Below are 18,140 nucleotides of genomic sequence, written 5' to 3'. Positions count from 1 at the left end.
GAGCTGTGGGGAATGAAAGAGGGAATCAAGATTGTTCCCAGGTTTTTGCTTTGAGTGCACTAATGATGGCACCATTAGTTGACATAAGGAGCCCTGGGAGAGGAAGAGATTGGGGGCAGGAAAGGAAGAGTTTGACTTAGACATGTTAATTTGAGATATTTATTAATGAACCCACTGAAGCCCCCATCTCATACTTTATATCTATCACTATACCAAGAACTATGAGATCCAAGACCTTGCCTTCCTTTTCAATTCCTTGTTAAGCAGGAATAAAGTGAAAAATTACTGAATAAAATATTCAGTTTTTTTGCAAAACACTCTTACGTTCAGAGGTTTGGTAGCAGAGCCATATCTTCCCAGGCAGGCATAAGTAGCCAATCAATCTCCATGTCATACCAAGCAACGGTCCAAGGGGCAAACTAATTAAAAATTTAATCCCATGATTTTCATCTTAATCTCTTTTTCCCATTAGCTTTGATCAATGCCTACAACTACAATTTAACCAAACTTTTCATTTAGATAAATGACTCAGTGGGGTACCTATTTAGTCCGTTTGTTATGAACCAATGGATAACTAAAATGTATATGCTAATTACTAAAGACCACACACTAATTTTCAAAGCATTTTATTAGCACAAAAGCTGTGTTCCTGTTATCAAATGAAATGCGCTTCCTATGTTACACTCAGTAGTTGTTCAAACCAGTTTCTCTTGACTTCAGTAGCCAAATTGCAGCATGCTGTGTAGGTACACAGTGCACTTGAGAAATGTCTGCACATCCCAACCCTGCACTATATCACAAGCAGTAGTGAAAGGTGTAGCAAATAAGAAGATTCCATGAACTTCTCAGCTACCTGAGACTTCTGCTGCACCCTGAAAAAAAAAATCAGGCTAGAAACCACATAAAACAACTAAACCAAACTGAATGCAGGGGCTGCTATGAGGAAGAATGAACTTTGCAGCCTGTTCCAAATGCTAAGGTGAAGGAGGTCCTTCCTGGCTCTGCTCACTAGGTGTGCAAGTCAGGAGATATTCATTTCGTGATCATCCTTTCCTATCACCTGTGGTGAAATTTCTACTGCTTTCAAGTCTTCCAGCCCCTATTTGAATGCCAAAATTCTTAAGTTCCTTCAAGTAAAAGAGATCTTCATTTTAAAAATAAAAGTCAATGGCTCTGGTCTCCTGTAGCCTTTTCAGCCCCTGTAACAGTGCTTTCTCACTTAGATTTTCACTGTCACTTCAATAAAGGGGTGAGAAGAGAGAACTGGCCTGCGATCAATGAAAACTATTCAGTAAAAACTCTTCATGCCAGACATGGCCCCAGAAACAGGAGGAAAGTTTACCAGACAGCAGGAGTGGGTGGTGGCTGGGTCCAGTGGAATGGGTAAACCTAAAAGGGGACGAAAATGGTTTTCAGGCTGCTGTGGCCCTCTCTACACACAAATTTTGTGGCCATGAAGTCCTGGCTACTAAGCATCATTGTCTTTGCGCAACCGCTGCACCTGCCACTTCCCTCAACCCATTAATAATCGGGTTCCTGGGAGGATTTTCATCCCCAATTTACTGGACATGCCTCCGAGCCACCTCCCCGCTCCGGCCCTCCCTCTCGTTGGTCGCCTTCAGACTCCCCCACACGCGGGACGGCCCCTCCCCCCACCCTCCTCACCGGCTAGCCGCGGCCAGCAGAGCCTTCGAGCGGCTCTGTCAGGCTGCCCTGGAGCGTAAGGAAGAAGAAGGCGCGAAGGAAGAAGACTTCCTCATATTCTTGGCTTCCAAGGGGCGCTAGGGCAACAGAGGGGGAAATGACGTAGCTTCCATCCCGGAAGCGAAAATTGGGCGCGGGTCCAGGAAGCCGCCATGTTGTGTGTGGCGGATGAGAATTTCAGCGCTCAGCATCTGGGTACCAGCAGAGAGGCCCCACAGAGAGGCTAGACTAACCGTCTCCGCCTCCTCTCCTTTCTCTGCTCCTCCCCTCCTCCCATCCCCCCTCCCTCTCCTTTCTCAGTGTACTAAATGAGTGCTTCAGAGCCCAGTGAATAGATGGACAAACATTTAAATTTCCTAGCCGGAAACACTGAAAAGATGAACTGTCAAGAGGCGTTTGAACCAGAGGGACTCCATCTTGAATAGGGGCTGCATAAAAGAAGGTGGAGACCTGCTGGGATGCATTCCCAGGAGGTTAGGCATTCTAAGTCACAGGATGAGACAGGGAGGTCAGCACAAGATACAGGTCACAAAGACCCTGCTGGTAAAACAGGATACTTAAAGAAGCCGGCCAAAATCCACCAAAACCAAGATTGGCAATGAAAGTGAACTCTGGTTGTCCCCACTGCTCATCATATGCTAATTATAATACATTAGCTTGCTGAAAGACTCTCCCACCAGCACCATGAGCATTTACAAATGCCATGGCGATGTTAGGAAGTTACTCTATATGATCTGAAGGCGAGGGTGGAACCCTCAGTTCTGGGAATTGCCACTCCTTTCCCCAGAATACTCTTGACTAATCTACCCCTTGTTTAGTGTATAATCAATAAATAACGTATACACAGTTGAACAGCCCATGCCGCTGTTCTGCCTATGGTGTAGCCAATCGTTTATTCCTTTACTTTTTTAATAAACTTGCTTTCACTTTACTCTTTGAACTTGCCCCAAATTCTTCGTTGCTTAAAGTCTAAGAATCCTCTCTTGGGGTCTGGATGGGGACCCCTTTTCATTAACATAACCACTTTACAATAGTTGAGGGTTTCAAGCACCAGGCTGGTGAGTACAGAGTACATGGCCCTGCTTTTCTTGACTTTGGTTACTTGGACTCAGGCCACAGCTGAAGAATACAGGAGGGAGGGAGGGAGAGAGAGAGATCATTGGGAAGCAGGTGGCGGCAGTGGTGGTGGTGGATTGGGTGTGTGAAATTTGCAGAGTTGGGGTGACTGCCAGGCTTCTGGGCTGATAGCTGGGAGAATGTTGGGCCATCACATACTAAAAGGGAACCACAGGAGAAGAAGCTGATGTGTGGGAAGTTTGGTTTTACATATATTAAGCCTTGAAGGTCTTCTAGGGGAGAAACTCAACAGGCCAATGGATGTGCCTGGTTTGATTTTTTAGATGACAGGCCTGAGCTAGAAATCTGTGCCTTAGATTCTTGTATATGAATGGTGCTAGAGCAGGAGCTTAGAAGAAATTGCCTGGTGGAGAGAATACCCTTTGGGAAAGAGGCGCAGGACAGAGTGTCAAGAGCTCTTCTACTAAAGAAAGGGAAGATGAGCAGGCAGCCCTAGGAGAGGAACCAGGGAAATGCGGCATTGCAGGGAGCAAGGGAAGAGCACTTCAGGAAGAGTAATTAGGTCAGTTTTGCTGATAAATTAGTGAGATGACTGAGCAGACTTTGTTGTTACCTGGAGCAGATTCCTTGGAATGGCTGGAGAAGGTCAGCTTGTGGTGAGTTGAGGAATAAGTGAGGGTGATGGTGAGAAAATGGAGATAAATGAACATAGGCAAATCTTCCAAGAAGTTGTCTGTGAAGAAATGAGAGTGATTCTGAAAGGAAAATGATGATTTTTAATTATTATTTTTTAAGATTGGAGAAACATAAGCTTGTTTTGGGGGGTTTTTGTTTTGTTTTGTTTTCTTGAGATGTAGTCTCACTCTGTTGCCGAGGCTGGAGTGCATTGGTGTAATATTGGCTCACTGCAACCTCTGCCACTGGGGTTCAAATGATTCTCCTACTTTAGCCTCCTGAGTAGCTCTGATTGCAGGCACGCGCCACCACGCTAGGCTAATTTTTGTATTTTTAGTAGAGATGGGGTTTCACCATGTTTGCCAGGCTGGTCTCAAACTCCTGACCTCAGTTGCTCCCACCTTGGCCTCCCAAAGTGCTGGGATTACAGGCACGAGCCACCACACCCAGCCAAAGCTTGTTTAAATATTGATGAGAAGGAGCCAGGGATTTTTTATGTTGATCAGCCCATGGACAAACTGAAGAGTGGCCTTGACTGTTTCCTGGCAAATGATAGTAAAGACCCTTGAGGAAAGAGTGCCTCTTTCTAATTCACACACATGGCCAGAGCAGCCGTGGATGAAAGTTTGATGCTGGAAGGTGAAGTATGTCCTGTCTTGCAGTGTGCATTTTGCCTAGGAAAGGGAGGTGAGATCATTGAAGGAAGGAGATGAAGTGCCTGAGAAGTTTGAGATCAGTGGAGGATGTGTGCGTGGCTGTAGGGGTTGGGGGGATAGCAGAGCAAGCAGATTTTAGCCATGTAGATTCCTAGATAGTGACTCTACAGTAACCTTAAAATGTCTGAAATAGGATAATAGCCTCTTTTTTTTTTTTTTTTTTTGACAGAGTCTTGCTCTGTTGCCCAGGCTGGAGTGCAGTGGCACCATTTCGGCTCACTGCGACCTCTGCCTCCAGGGTTCAAGCGATTCTCATGCCTCACCCTCCAAAGTAGCTGGGATTACAGGCGTGTGCCACCACACCTGGCTAATTTTTGTATTTTTAGTAGAGAGACAGGGTTTCACCATGTTGGCCAGGCTGGTCTCGAACTCCTGACCTCAAGTGATCCACCCACCTTGACCTCCCAAAGTGTTGGGATTACAGGCGTGAGCCACTGCGCCCGGCCCAGCCTCCTTTATAGTAGGAGTCAGGAGACAGCAGATGACCAGAGACTGCAGCCAGTGCCATGTATTGGTTTTGGTACCCATACTCAGCTCTCAGTTTTCCATGTCCTGTTGTTTACCCTACTTGTCTGACTTTAAAATGTCTTTTTGTTATTGGGAATCTGATAAGTTCTATCTTAATATGCATTTTTATTACTTGTAATTTTACAGATCTCTCAGTGAATTCTAGTGTTGACCAGTACACAGCTGAGCTTACTCAAGACCAAGAGGCTAAGTGGTTCCTTGGCCCACCTAAGACCTACAGATTGAGGCCTAGAATCTGCACTTTTTAGCTGTGCAAAATGCTGCCATTATTATTTTATAAGAAGTGACTTTTCTATGAGCCAAGTACTTATTACAACCCCAATAACCAAAACAATGCTGTATAATTTTTAAAGAGGCAGTTTCAGGGGGACTTGCCTTGGTCTGGACGTACACTGGGGTTCCCAAATGGCTATATACACACCCAGCACTGCTCTGCTTTCCCCAGAGGTACCACTGCAGAAGCTGTATTTTAATAACCATTCCCCAGGTACTTTGGTTGCACTATAAAATTTGGGAATGATTGGTGTAGACTGGCAGTGGTATATAATGGATTGAGACAGATGCATCCCCAGGGGTAAAGTCCTCACTAGCTCGTATCGCTGAGGAATGATACCCCTGAAGTCTGTATGAGGAATCAACGAAATCATCAATGTTCATATTATCTCATTTTCTTGAGGCATTTCTAGAAAACTGAGCTAGCTTTTTGCCCCTCTATTTTTAGTGTCTTGGCAGGCAGATTGAGATGATTTAAACCTTGCTGATCATCTTGTCTCTTACTGCAAACTTGTTTTCCATTTTGAAGAGCAGTGGGATGTTAACGCTCTTTCATAGGGAAATGTCTTTTGTGAAAGTGGAACAAGAGGCCAGCTTTAGAAATGCATCAGGGCTTCTGCTTCCAGGAAAATGGAGTAAATGTACTTTCTCTTCTTCCTCCCACAAAGTGCAACTAAAACCCCTGGGCATTATACAAAAAACAAACATAAGAAGACTTAGAAAGGTGGAATGACTAGGAACCTTGTGATCTAAGGAGCACCATGCTGGCAAATTTTCTGGGTTTTCCTTTGCCTCATATATTCCAAACCTAGAGCTGAGGAAGCCAGTGACCCAGTAATGCTAACGGCATCAGACAAAAAAAAAAAAAAAGTCCCAAGAAAAGCCACCTTTCTTAAGATAAAGGACTAAGAATGGGGCAACTTAGCAAGACAGAAGGCTTTTGGACAATAACTGCTTGACTCCAGCCAAAGACCACCAACAAAACAAACAAAAAAGTACTTCCCCTGTATCTGCTGATATCTATCTAAATGTTTGTAGAGGAAATATTTAAGACAATTATAAGTGGGAGAAGGTAAAGGGATATAGAGGATGGTAAAAATTTCTCCACTGCATTCAAATTGGTAAAATGATGACCCCAGAGAATGCGATATTATGTATATATTAAATGAAATACCTAGAGCAACCACTAAAAAGAATATACAGAAAGACACTCAAAAACACTAGATAAATAAAAATGAGATTCAACAAAAAAGTTAAAATAACTCACAGGAAGGCAAGAAAGAGAAAACAGAAATGAGAATAGAAAATACAAAATGGTAGACTTAAACCTTAACATATCAATAATTACATTAAATGTCAATGGTCTAAATACACCAATTAAAACACACAGATTGGCAGAGTAGAGGAAAATGATGACCTAGCTACATGCCACCTGTAAGAAATTCTCACTTCAAATTTAACAATATAGGCAGATTGAAAGTGAAAGGATGGAAAAAATATATCATGCAAACAATCAAAGTGGGAGTAGCTATATTAGCATCAGATAAGGTAAATTTCAGGGCAAAGAAAATTACCAGAGATAGAGAACAATGTGACAAAATGATAAAAGGGTCAATCCATCAAGAAGAAATATCAACCCTAAATGTGTACACACCAAATAACAGCTGCAAAATATGTGAAGCAAAAAATAGATACGTTAAAAGGAGAACTGGACAAATCCACACCCCTCTCTCAATAATTAATGGGACAGCTAGACAGAAAATCAGCAAGGATATAGAAAAATTCAGCAACACTATCAATCAAAATGATCTTATCAGCATTCATAGAATGCTCCACCTGACAACAGAAGGTATGTTCTTTTTAAGTGCCCAGGGAACATACTCCAAAAATCGACCACATTCTGGGCTATGAAACAGACTTTAACGCATTTGAAAGAGTTAAAATCATACCAAGTGTGTTCTCTGACCACTGTGGAATCAAATTAGAGAACGGCAACAGAAAGATGACAGTAAACTCACCCAAACAGGTGGAAACTAAGCAACACGTTTCTAAATATTCCATGGGTCAAAGTGGAAGTCTCAAGGGAAACAAAAGAATATGCTGTACTGGATGAAAATGAAAATAAGCATATCAAAATTTGTAGAAGAGAGCTAAGCAGTGCTGAGGGAAATTTATAGCACTAAATGCATAGCATACATTAGAAGAAAGGAAAACTCTCATCAACAATCTTAGCTCCCAACTACAGTACCTAGAAAAAGAAAAGCAAATTAAACCCATAACAAGCTGAAAGAAAGAAATAATAAAGAGCAAAGTCAAGAAATAGAAAGCAATAAAACTATTAAAGCAACTAAAAAAAAAGAGCTGGTTTTTTGAAAATATTTTCTAAAGGATAAAACTCTAGCAAGACAGACAAAAAAGAAGAATATTAGGTAACATTCTAATATCACCAATATTAGGAATGAAACAGAGGATATTACTACAGGTTCTCCAGAATAAGCAAGATAATAAAGGAATACAGTTGACCCTCTTCAGGAGGATGAAGGCACACACTCTCAAGTCAGGCTGCCAGATGAGCCATTACAACATGGCATGTTGTAATGAGGTAACATTTGGGAATGATGGATATGTTCATTATCTGGATTATGGTAATGGTTTCATGAGAGTATACATATGCCAAAACTTATTAAATTGTATGTTTTTAAGTGTTCAGCTTATTGTAGGTCACTTAAATAAAGGTTAAAAGAAAGCATTATCAAATCTTAATCTTTGCCATATGTATTTATTTCAGATTCTCCACTTACAAACACAGATCATTTTTTTATCCCAAACCTATTTTCCCCCATTTCCTATATATAAGCACTAGGAAATTGAATTTGGTGTTTTTGATCCCCACGCATAATTTTCTATATTAGTGCAGAAGTCTTTATAAACATTATATAACATAGTTTTGTATTACTTAATATTGTACATAAATGAAGTATCTATCATTCTGTAATTTGCTTTCTTTGTTTAACATATTTATGAATAAATTACATAACTTTAACAAAAACTTAAGGGAGGTATTATTACCATTTTACAGATGGAGAGAGAAACTGAGGTTCACCCTGATTAGGTGAACCATTTCTTGCCAAAGGTGATTATGAAGCCAGGATTGAGCCAGGTCTGACCTGGGTCAAAGCCAGAGCTTTAAACAGTGACCACAGGTACTTTGGGGGAGATTTTCCTCAAGGGCTCCCTTGTTTGTGCTTCCTGGGATTGTCATGAGCAGCACCCTTCCAGGCAATTTGCTCTTCTAGACTGTTCTAGACCACACTGGTTTGTCTGGCTACCTGGCATTCAGGTTGGGTCAGGCATTGCTTTGCCATATCCAGCTGTACTTTGCCGGGATCAAAGATAGTACCTTTGCCCTGCCTTGCTCCTTCTATTAATACTACTCCCTGGTCTAAATAAGGCCTGCCTTTTTTTGTCTAGATAGGGCTTCTTAACCTCTTTCATGTCAGGGATACCTCTGGCAGGGAAGCCTAGGGGCACCTTGGAATAAAACTTTTTAAATGCTGAAGACACATATGATTACAGCCTTATTGAAATACAAAATATATTTTAAAATGGTGATTGAATCATACATATGCTCCTTTTTTTTTTTTTTTGAGATGGAGTCTCCCTCTGTCACCCAAGCTGGAGTGCAGTGTTGCGATCTCAGCTCACTGCAACCTCTGCCTCCTGGGTTCAAGTGATTCTCCTGCTTCAGCCTCCAGAGTAGCTGTGATTACAGGTTCCTGCCACCATGCCTGGCTAATTTTTGTATTTTTAGTTGAGACAGGGTTTCACCATGTTGACTAGACTGGTCTCGAACTCCTGACCTCAAGTGATCTGCCTGCTTCAGCATCCCAAAATGCTGGGACTACAGGCGTGAGCCACCATACCTGGCCGATATATGCTTCTTTATTTATGCTTTTATGTTACAAGGTCTAATAGTGGATCTAATTGCCAATTTTGCTGCACAGATGAGCCTGAGCTTGATTTCAACATATCTGTAGCAACTGTAATACATGAAAATGTCGGTGATTTCTATTGGTGACAATGAGGACTGATAACATTACTATGGTTTGTTGCCTGCTTTCCAAACCAAAGTGCTACATTTCGGTTGGAAGTTAGCAAACATAGATATATTTTTCCTCATTTGAGTTCACAGACCCCTGAATTCCCTCCACAAACATGTTACGGGTCCGTGGACCCCTGGATAAAAGTCACTGGACTAGCACCTTCCCAGAGAACCAGGAATTAGAGGGGCTTGGAAGCAGCTGGTTTTTGGGGCAGACAGAAAGCTGGTCCCAGGGTTCCGTGTTTTATGTTAACGACAATCATCTCTCCGTTTTCCTGATTAAGAGCTGCTGTGGAGCCTCATGCACTATTTGACTTAGCCAGGAACTTCAAAAGCAGATGCCTGACAAGAATAACTCTTTACTCTTAGATTTAGGGCAGAGCATGATAACAAAGTCCTGAGCAAAGCTTTGCAAATGTTCAGTTTTCAGTGATGTAGTATAATTCTGCGGGGCATTTGTTACAAACACATTTTTTTCCAAAGAAAATTGTTTTATGGCTTAATGTGAAAGCAACTCTCCTAGCAGACTCTCGCCTGCCTCACCAAAGCCCCTTGCAGGGCCCCTCTGGTTCCCGACCTCAAAGAATGCCCTGCAGTTTGTGAGGAGCCCACGAGATCTGCTTTAAAAAGGTCAGGCACTATATTTTGTCATTTGTGAAGCTTACCATATTTGCAATCCTGCTCTCAGCCTCCCTGTGGCTCAATTAACTGCTGATGATACCTTCCAGTGTGGCAAGGCCCGAGGCCTTCTCTCTGCCTCATTATTTTATACATTTTGAAACGCTGGCTTTTTAAGTTAGAGATTAATTTTCCTGCACCGAGGGGGGTGTTAGTGGAAGGAAGCATGCTTTTACTTGGCAGGAAAAAAAAATCCTCCAACATGGTCATACCAATTTATACCATACTAGCGATATGTAAGAATTTCAGTTGTTTCATCTTTGTCAGCATTTGATATTTTTCCATCATTTTCATTTCAGCCATTATGTTTTAATTTGCATGTAATGTGTTTATTGGCCATTTGGACACCTTGTTTTCTAAAATGCCTGTTCAAATATTTCACACATTTTTCTATTGAGTTTTATTCCTTTTTTAAAAAATTGATTCACAGGAATTTGTTATATATCCTAAATATAAGTCCACTGTTTGGCTATATGAATTGCAAATATCTTTTCCAAATCTGTAGTTTGCTGTTTTACCCTATTAGTAGTGTCTTTTGATAGGCAAAAGAGCTAATTTTAATAAAGTCCAGTTTACTTATTTCCTTTGTGGGTGGTGCTACTGTTAAGATTTTTTTTTTTAAGAAGTTGGGTAGCCTCGCTGACGTTAAGATGCACTGGTGCAGTGTTTTCGCTGCTTAGCCTGTCCTGTGGAGGGCTTGTGTTCACACGCCAGGCCTGTGTACCCCTGGGAAGGCGCCATGCTTAGAGTAGCACCGTACAAGAAATATATGATGCAAGCCATGTGTGTTATTTAGATTTTTCTAGTAGCCACATTTACAAAAGCAAAAAGTAAAAGATGAAATTAATTTTGATAGTATATTTTATTTAACTAAATATATCTAGTACTCAGGCCATTTCAATGCTTAAAAATTCACTCTGCTCTTTGGGAGACCAAGGCAGGCGGATCATGAGGTCAAGAGATCAAGACCATCCTGGTCAACATGGTGAAACCCCATCTCTACCAAAAAATTAGCCGGGCGTGGTGGTGCGAGCCTGTAGTCACCGCTACTCAGGAGGCTGAAGCAGGGGAGGGGGGCTTGAACCTGGGAGGCGGAGATAGCAGTGAGCCGAGATCGTGCCACTGCACTCCAGCCTGGTGACAGAGGGAGACTCCATCTCAAACAAACAAACAAATTACTGTGCTTTGGTTTTGAAATGAGATTTAAATTTTAGTCACACTAGCCACGTACACATGGTAAGTAGTCACATCTCTCTGACTGTTATCATATTGGACAGTACAGGTTTAAAAGTTGACAATCAGCTCTGGAGGCAAATGACCTGGGTTCTAATATGGCTGTGTCCCTTTATAACAATAGCTAACACCTATGGACTGCTTCCTCCTTAGCAGGCTCTGTCCATAAGAAAATAAAGACACTGAGGGCCTCAGGCATACCAAGTACTGTGCATGATTTATATTATTTAATCCTTCCAAACCATGCGAGGTAGGTAATGTTCTTACCCCCAGTGGTGGTTAATTTTATGTGTCAATGTGGTAGGTTGTAGCACCCAGTTGCTAGGTCAAGCACCAGTCCAGATGTTGCTGGGAAGGTATTTTTTTAGGTGATTTTAGGTGATTAACATTTGAATCAGTAGACTTTGAGTAAAGTACATTACCCTCTTTAATGTGAGTAGGTCTCCTCCAATCAGTTGAAGGCCTTAAGAAAAAAGATTGAGGTCCCGCCAGGAGGACAGAACTCTGCCTCCAGACTGCCTTTGGACTCAAAACTGCAACAATCAACTTCTGCTGGAATTTCCAGACTGCCAGTCACCACTGCAAAGTTTGCATTTTCCAGCCCCCACCATTGCATGAACCAATTCCCTAACATAAAGTCTCTCTCTCTCCCACACTGCTTCCCCTCAGCGCCCCCACACCCACATCCTATTAGTTCTATTTCTCTAGAGAACACTGTCAAATATACTACCCATCCCAATTTCCCTCAATAGGGAAACTGAGGCAGCTTGGCTCCAGAGCTCATGCTTTTAACCTCTGTGCTGCCTCCAGCCATTTGGAAAACTCCTTAACTTATTTAGGTCTCAATTTTGTTATTGGCAAACTAAGATGAGTAGTGCCTACGCAATAGGTTTGTTGTGAGGACTGTTTGAGATGACATAAAGCACCTGGCATGTAGTAAGTACTCAATGCAAAGTATTGTTGCTTGTTGATGTTTTCCATCTTAAGACACTCAAAGCAGAACATATTACTGGTTATACTGTAGATATCAAAGAATTAAAGAGAAGGAAGGGCAAAGTTTAGAAAAGTCTATTGTATGAGATTCACTGATGATCTTTATCACAGGCACTTTAAATTTTTGCCATGCCCATGTCAATAAAAATGGCTATTTTTAAGTGAGTCCCTGCCATCTGCACAACATTTGAATTCCATCATCTCATGAAATCCTCACATGAATCCTACTGGGGAATCATCATTGTCATTTCCCAATTCCCAGTTTAAAGATGAGAAACTGAGGCCGCAAGTGAATCAGAAACTTATCCAGCTTCTAAATGACAATCTCTCAGGGAAATAATTTCCCAGTACCTTCATGTTGTCAAACCATCAGATTATTTCTTTTCTTTATTAATCCTTTACAAAGAGGCTTGTAAGTGAATTGAAATTAACATCAAGTCATTGTAGGGAAATTGAAAACTTAATCATTCCCGTATTCTCCTTCATTTTTATCTGCTGCTGGGTGCATACATTTGTAATTCAGCTTTGAAACTGTCATATAATCTTACAATTTTTTTTTCTTTTGCAATTTTGTGCAGGTAATCCTGAGGGGGATTTTTCATATATTGTAGATGATTAAAATTGAATGTAGCTTATAAAAAAATGAATTGTTAATGACTGAGAAAGCCTTGTGTTCTTTGAAAATATTTGTTGTTAAATGAAAAGAGACTTCAGAATGTCAATATATTTCCCTTTGTTTGTTTTCCCCCTCTTCCTACTTGTATTCTTCCCATACATTTTAAATTGGTGTAATCCACAGATTAATTTTTAGGTATTTCTTTGAGTTATGTTCATAAATGTCAGGTTTTATAGAAAGATTATTTTTTGCAAGTTTTAATACGTTTTTTTCTCCTTCATTCTCCTTTCTTTGATGTCAGGGATGAATAAATCCAGTTTAATATGACTTTCATTTGTGAGGCTTAACATAGAAACCATTGTAAGGCTAAACCAAACCTCCTTCTGTTTTTCAATGATTATCTTTCTCTGTCAAAATGAACCAAGCCCTCTAGTCTGAGGATTTGAAAGAAACAAGTCCTAAGAATAGTCAGAAATCAAAGCTTGCAGGGTGAGCTCAGATTGTAACTAAGTGTTCCTTTATCTTCACCCACACTTCTTTGAAGTGCTTTCCCTAAGCTGGTTACGTTGGATATTGAAGGGAGGGTGTGGATTCCCAAGTGGCAATTCCATCATGTTTATTGGGAGGTTGGATATTATGATAATTATTTTCTCCATGGTCTTTTACCTCTAAGCCATGGTACTTCTATGTACCCGACTTTTGCCTGGTATGGTTACATTGGGATGGTTTAAATAATTTAGACTCTAATTTATGTTGGAGTAGAAATGTTCATAAGTGGGCCATTAACACCTATATTTCAGTGAAAGTGCTGTGTAATGACCTAGGGTATTATTAAATGGCACACTCCCCTGAGATATTGTTCCACTTTCTTTTCATCATCCCTTACCTTTCTCTCATTTTTATGAACAATTCTTTACTCTGTCTCTTGGAGGGCTAACAGCAGACAGAAGAACTGCAGATAGTGTGCTTGAAAGAGTCTGGATTTATTATGCTCAAATTACAATCTATGCATATTTAATCAGCTCTTATTATATGCAATGCTTTGCTCTAGACCCTGCATATAAAGATCAGCATTGTCCCTGGGGACAATAGCCATCCCTGGGGTATAATTTATCACTACTTTTCCTGAGGTTAGTGAAGCAATGTGCATCAAAGCCTTAAAAATGTGCATATCCTTTGATGAGGTAATCCTACCTTTGGAAATGTAACCCAGGTAAGAAAATGAGAATGTGGATAAGTAATTATGCAAAAGGATGTTCGTCACAGTTGTTTAGAGTAGTGAAAATTGGAAAACAGCCTAAATGTCCAATAGTAAGGGATTGGTAAATTAAAGTACTTGCATGCCCATACAATGGAATATTACATAATCATTAAAACCCAGATTGTAGAGTATTGACATGAAAAGATATTAATGATATAATGCCAATTGAGTTTTTAAAAGGTTATATAGGTATGTGGTATAAAATTTAATTTTATTAAATGATGCTATAAATATATTGCACTCCTAGGAAAAAGCCGGATGGACACTGAACAAGTATAAAGAGCAGTTACTGGCTGGGTGCAGTGGCTCACACCTGAAATCCTAGCACTTTGGGAGGCCAAGGAAGGTGGATTGCCTGAGGTCAGGAGTTTGAGACCAGCCTGGGCAACATGGTGAAACCCTGTCTCTACTAAAATACAAAAAATTAGCAGGGTATGATGGTGTGCACCTGTAGTCCTAGCTACTTGGGAGGCTGAGGCAGAAGAATCGCTTGAACCCGGGAGGCAGAGGTTGCAGTGAGCCTAGATCAGCGGCAGAATGAGACTTCAACTCCAAAAAAGAAAAAAGAGTAGTTATTGCTCAGGATTAGGATAGTGGATGTATTTTTATTTTCTTCTCTTTGCTTTGCTTGTCTACATTTTCTAGTTTTTCTCCAGAGACCAGATATTGCTTTTGAAATCAAAACATTCTATAAAAGTCATTTTTAATGAAAAATAAACTAGAGAGCCTGTCCCTGGACCACTACAGGGCAGCAGGCTGTGCAAGAGAACACAACCCAGTGCACAGTCAGTGTTCATGGGGTCAGCTCCGGGAGCCCTGCCTGTGCCTGCCTTGCTGTGACCCTCTGACCTCCCTCATCTGGACCCTTCCTGCCTTGGCCGTGGCTTTATTTCCTGGCTTCAGAAAGCCATCCTTCCCTCTTGCTCAGTGCAAATAACAGAAGAGCCAGCTCAACATGGGCTCAAACAAATCTGGGTTTGTTTTTCCTCTTGCAACAAGAATTCCAGAACCTCATAACTGATTCTAGCTTCCTGGACCCGGTCTTACGGTGAAACCTCAGCTAAGCAGGATTCAAGATGAAAGGCAGCCCCCGAGCCCTAGAAACTCAGAGGACACGGGGACATAGACAGCATCAACAACTCTGGAATATAAAGTCATGGTTCTCTCACCTGCAGCGCAACTCCCCTTCCAGCTCCTTAATGTGCACTAGGGCAGGGCGCGGTGGCTCATGCCTGTAATCCCAGCACTTTGGGAGGCCGAGGTGGGTGGATCACCTGAGGTCAGGAGTTCGAGACCAGCCTGCCCAACATGGCGAAACCCCATCTCTACTAAAAAAAAAAAAAAAAAAAAAATACAAAAAATTAGCCAGGCATGTTGGCAGACGACTGCAATCCCAGTTACTCGGGAGGCTGAGGCAGGAGAATCGCCTGAACCCGGGAGGCGGAGGTTGCAGTGAGCTGAGATCGCGCCACTGCACTCCAGCCTGGGCGACAAGAGCAAAACTCCATCTCAAAAAAAAATAAACTATGCACGGGGTCGTGTTCAGCATTGTCCTGGCAGGCCTTCCCTCCAGCAACACCCTCTTTCCCATCCTGGTAATAAAAATTGCTAGCATGTATCAACTTCTTTCTGTGTATGAATCACTATTACAAGCACTTAACAGGTCTTTTCTCATGTAATCTTCACAACTCTTTGAAGCTGATTGCTTACGATTCCATTTTCATGTGAGAAAATGCAGGCACAGCAAGGTTATCTAGCTTACCCAAGGTTAGCTAGAAAATGGCAGAGCCAGAACGTAAACCCAGACTGTGACATGCCGAGGCCCTCGCCATAACCACCAGGTGTCCTACCCCACAAGCGACAGCCCTGCCCAGCTGCTTGCGTCTATTCAGTTCTCCCGCTAACCCCTGGCAACCATTGATCTTTTTGCTGTTTGTATAGTTTTGCCTCTTCCAGAATGTCATGTAGTTGGAATCATACAGTATGTAGCCATTTCAGACTGGCTTCTTTCACTCAGTAATATGCATTTAAAGTTCTTCCATGTCTTTTTAGCACTGAATAATATTCCATTGTCTGAATATATCACAGTTTGCCCATTTACTCATTGAAGGACATCAATTGTTTCCATGTTTTGATCGTTATGAATAAAGCTGCTATAAATATTTGCATGCAGGCTTTGTGTGCACAAGTTTTTAACTCCTTTGGATAAATACAAGGAGGGAGATTGCTGAATCATATGGTAGGGGTATGTTTAAGAAACCACCAAACTGTCTTCTAAAATGGCAGTACCACTTTGCATTCCCATCAGCAATACATGAAAGTTCCTGTTGCTCCACATCCTCACTAGCATTCGGTTTTGTCAGCGTTTTGGATTTTAGGCATAGAATGTTTCTTATTGTTGCTTTTAATTTGCAATTAATTTGCAATGACAAACAATGTTGAGCATCTTTTCATATAGTTAATTCCCATCTATATATCTTCTTTGGTGAGGTGTCTGTCCAGATCTTTTGCTCATTTTTAATTGGGTTGTTTGTTTTCTTATCGTTGAGTTTTAAGGCTTCTTTGTATGTTTTAGATACCAATTCTTTATCCAACGTGCTTTGCAACTATTTTTTCCCCAGTCTGTGGCTTGTCTTTTTATTCTTTTAACAGGGAAATTCAAATTTTATTGTCCATAAATAAACTTTTAGTGGAACACAGACATGCTTATTCATTTACAGATCGTCTGTGGCTAACTGCACGCTATTTCAGCAGTTTCAACAGGGCCTGAGAACCCGCAAAGCATAAAATATGTGCTAGCTGTCCCTTTACAGATAAGTTTGCCGACCCTTGATTTAGGACATCGTCTCTATTCCCTCCTTAATGAGCCTGTCATTCCCAGAAAACCAATTCTCATGGGCAGCAATTACTGATCAAAAATTCCCTTCTGGGGACGCTGAGTTGAAGTGTCTAATTCTGGCCCAGCAAGGTTCTTTTTTTACGGTTCCTCTTCCAAGGCTTGGTTTCCACTCCAGCTGGCCTTGCTCAAGTCCTGCTGAGTGAAGGGAGCGCCGCTTGGGGCAGCCTGAGCGGGTCCGGAGCTGCCCCTCCGGTGTGGCTGGATTTCTCTTCTCCTTCCTCTGAATGGGGCCAGCCCTGTGCCTCTCATTTTGCCACGCCCCTCCCTACAGCCCCGTCTTCCTGGTGCGAGACGTTGGTCGCCCCCTGGTGGCGCGTGTTGTCATTACAAGGCTATCAACGAGAGGCTGGAACTGGAAGGCGTGGCCGGCTTTCTCTCCCACGAGGGCATCTCCCAGCCCTTCCCTCACTTCGGTGTTTGGGATTGAATATCCCTCTGAAGTTTGCATGATCACACTTTGCCGATCCATTTTCTCCTCCCAACAGCAGTAATCAATTCCAGTTCGGGGGTGTCAGATCATTAAAACAGGCTGCACGTCATTTGCATGTTTCGGTTCCCATGGAGCTGCCAGTCTGATTCCCCTCCCCCTCAAATTTCTTGCTTTTTAATTTTTTTTCATGCTTTTAACATCTGGTCCTATTTTTTTTCTCTTTCCAATAAGTGAAAAGGATGTAAATCTAGAAACCCGTGGGCAGACGTATGCTCTTTTTCTTGTGAAGTGTTCACTCTTTAACTGTAATAGTGTGACAACAAGCGAAGGGAATCAGAGATACATGCTCTGCCTGGTCTCTCCTCTCCTGCCAGTTATTTTTGACGGCTTGGCATCTGATGTGGATCAATTTTTTTCCAACTCGCATATTCTGCCTCCCACAGGGCATGGGTGCACAGGAGGGACATAACCTGCCTGGTCCCTGGATATTAATAAAATGTATTATTGTTATGCATTGAGCACCTACTATGTGCCAGCACTTTGCTAAGTGCTTTCACATTTAGAGGCATTGAAAAGAAGACATGCTAGGTGGTTTTCTTTCCTGCCTGTATTCCCTTGCCATCCCTGGAATAGGTGATTGATAAGCCTGGCCTCTGACATCATATACCCTGGGTTCAAATCCTGTCTCTGCTGCCTATGAGCTATGTGACCTTCGGCCTCCCACCTCATCTTTTGGAATCTCAGTTTCCCTACCTGTAAAATGAGGATTTATAATAGCACTTATTTCCTAGGGCTGTTCTGAGGATTACGTGTGTTAATATTGGTAGGCCACTTTGAACAGCATGTGGCACATGGCAAGGACCCTGTAAGTGCAGATGTTAGTAAACAGTGTAATGGGTGAGCCTGTGCCGATTTGGCCAGAGATGAGTACTACTCCACCCCTCTGCTCCCTGCT

General features: G+C 41.9%; 1 long non-coding RNA gene across 2 annotated transcripts, besides 2 other annotated features; it reads right to left on the bottom strand.

Moving 5' to 3' along the window:
- Window positions 1-610: 610 nt before the first annotated feature.
- On the bottom strand, window positions 611-1,897 carry LINC02696 (long intergenic non-protein coding RNA 2696). 2 transcript variants are annotated; one of them, NR_120557.1, is made up of 2 exons: window positions 1,666-1,897; window positions 611-1,389 (listed from the first exon to the last, which is right to left on the bottom strand). It is a non-coding gene; the product is annotated as a long intergenic non-protein coding RNA 2696 (long non-coding RNA). The 2 variants fall into 2 exon arrangements; NR_120558.1 differs by having other exon boundaries at window positions 611-872.
- Window positions 9,457-9,995: an enhancer, noted in NCBI's record as "OCT4-NANOG hESC enhancer chr11:45368824-45369362 (GRCh37/hg19 assembly coordinates)". NCBI's record gives its function as "activates a minimal SCP1, AML or CMV promoter by ChIP-STARR-seq in primed H9 embryonic stem cells {active_cell/tissue: H9 hESC(primed)}" and the evidence as "EXISTENCE:reporter gene assay evidence [ECO:0000049][PMID:30033119]".
- Window positions 16,916-17,210: an enhancer, noted in NCBI's record as "tiled region #11350; K562 Activating DNase unmatched - State 8:EnhW". NCBI's record gives its function as "activates a minimal TATA promoter and a strong SV40 promoter by Sharpr-MPRA in K562 cells {active_cell/tissue: K562}" and the evidence as "EXISTENCE:reporter gene assay evidence [ECO:0000049][PMID:27701403]".

Source organism: Homo sapiens, chromosome 11, assembly GCF_000001405.40.
Source record: "Homo sapiens chromosome 11, GRCh38.p14 Primary Assembly".
Classification (NCBI taxonomy): domain Eukaryota; kingdom Metazoa; phylum Chordata; class Mammalia; order Primates; family Hominidae; genus Homo; species Homo sapiens.
Note: the sequence above shows the minus strand (reverse complement) of the source record. Positions and strands in the feature narration are given on the sequence as shown.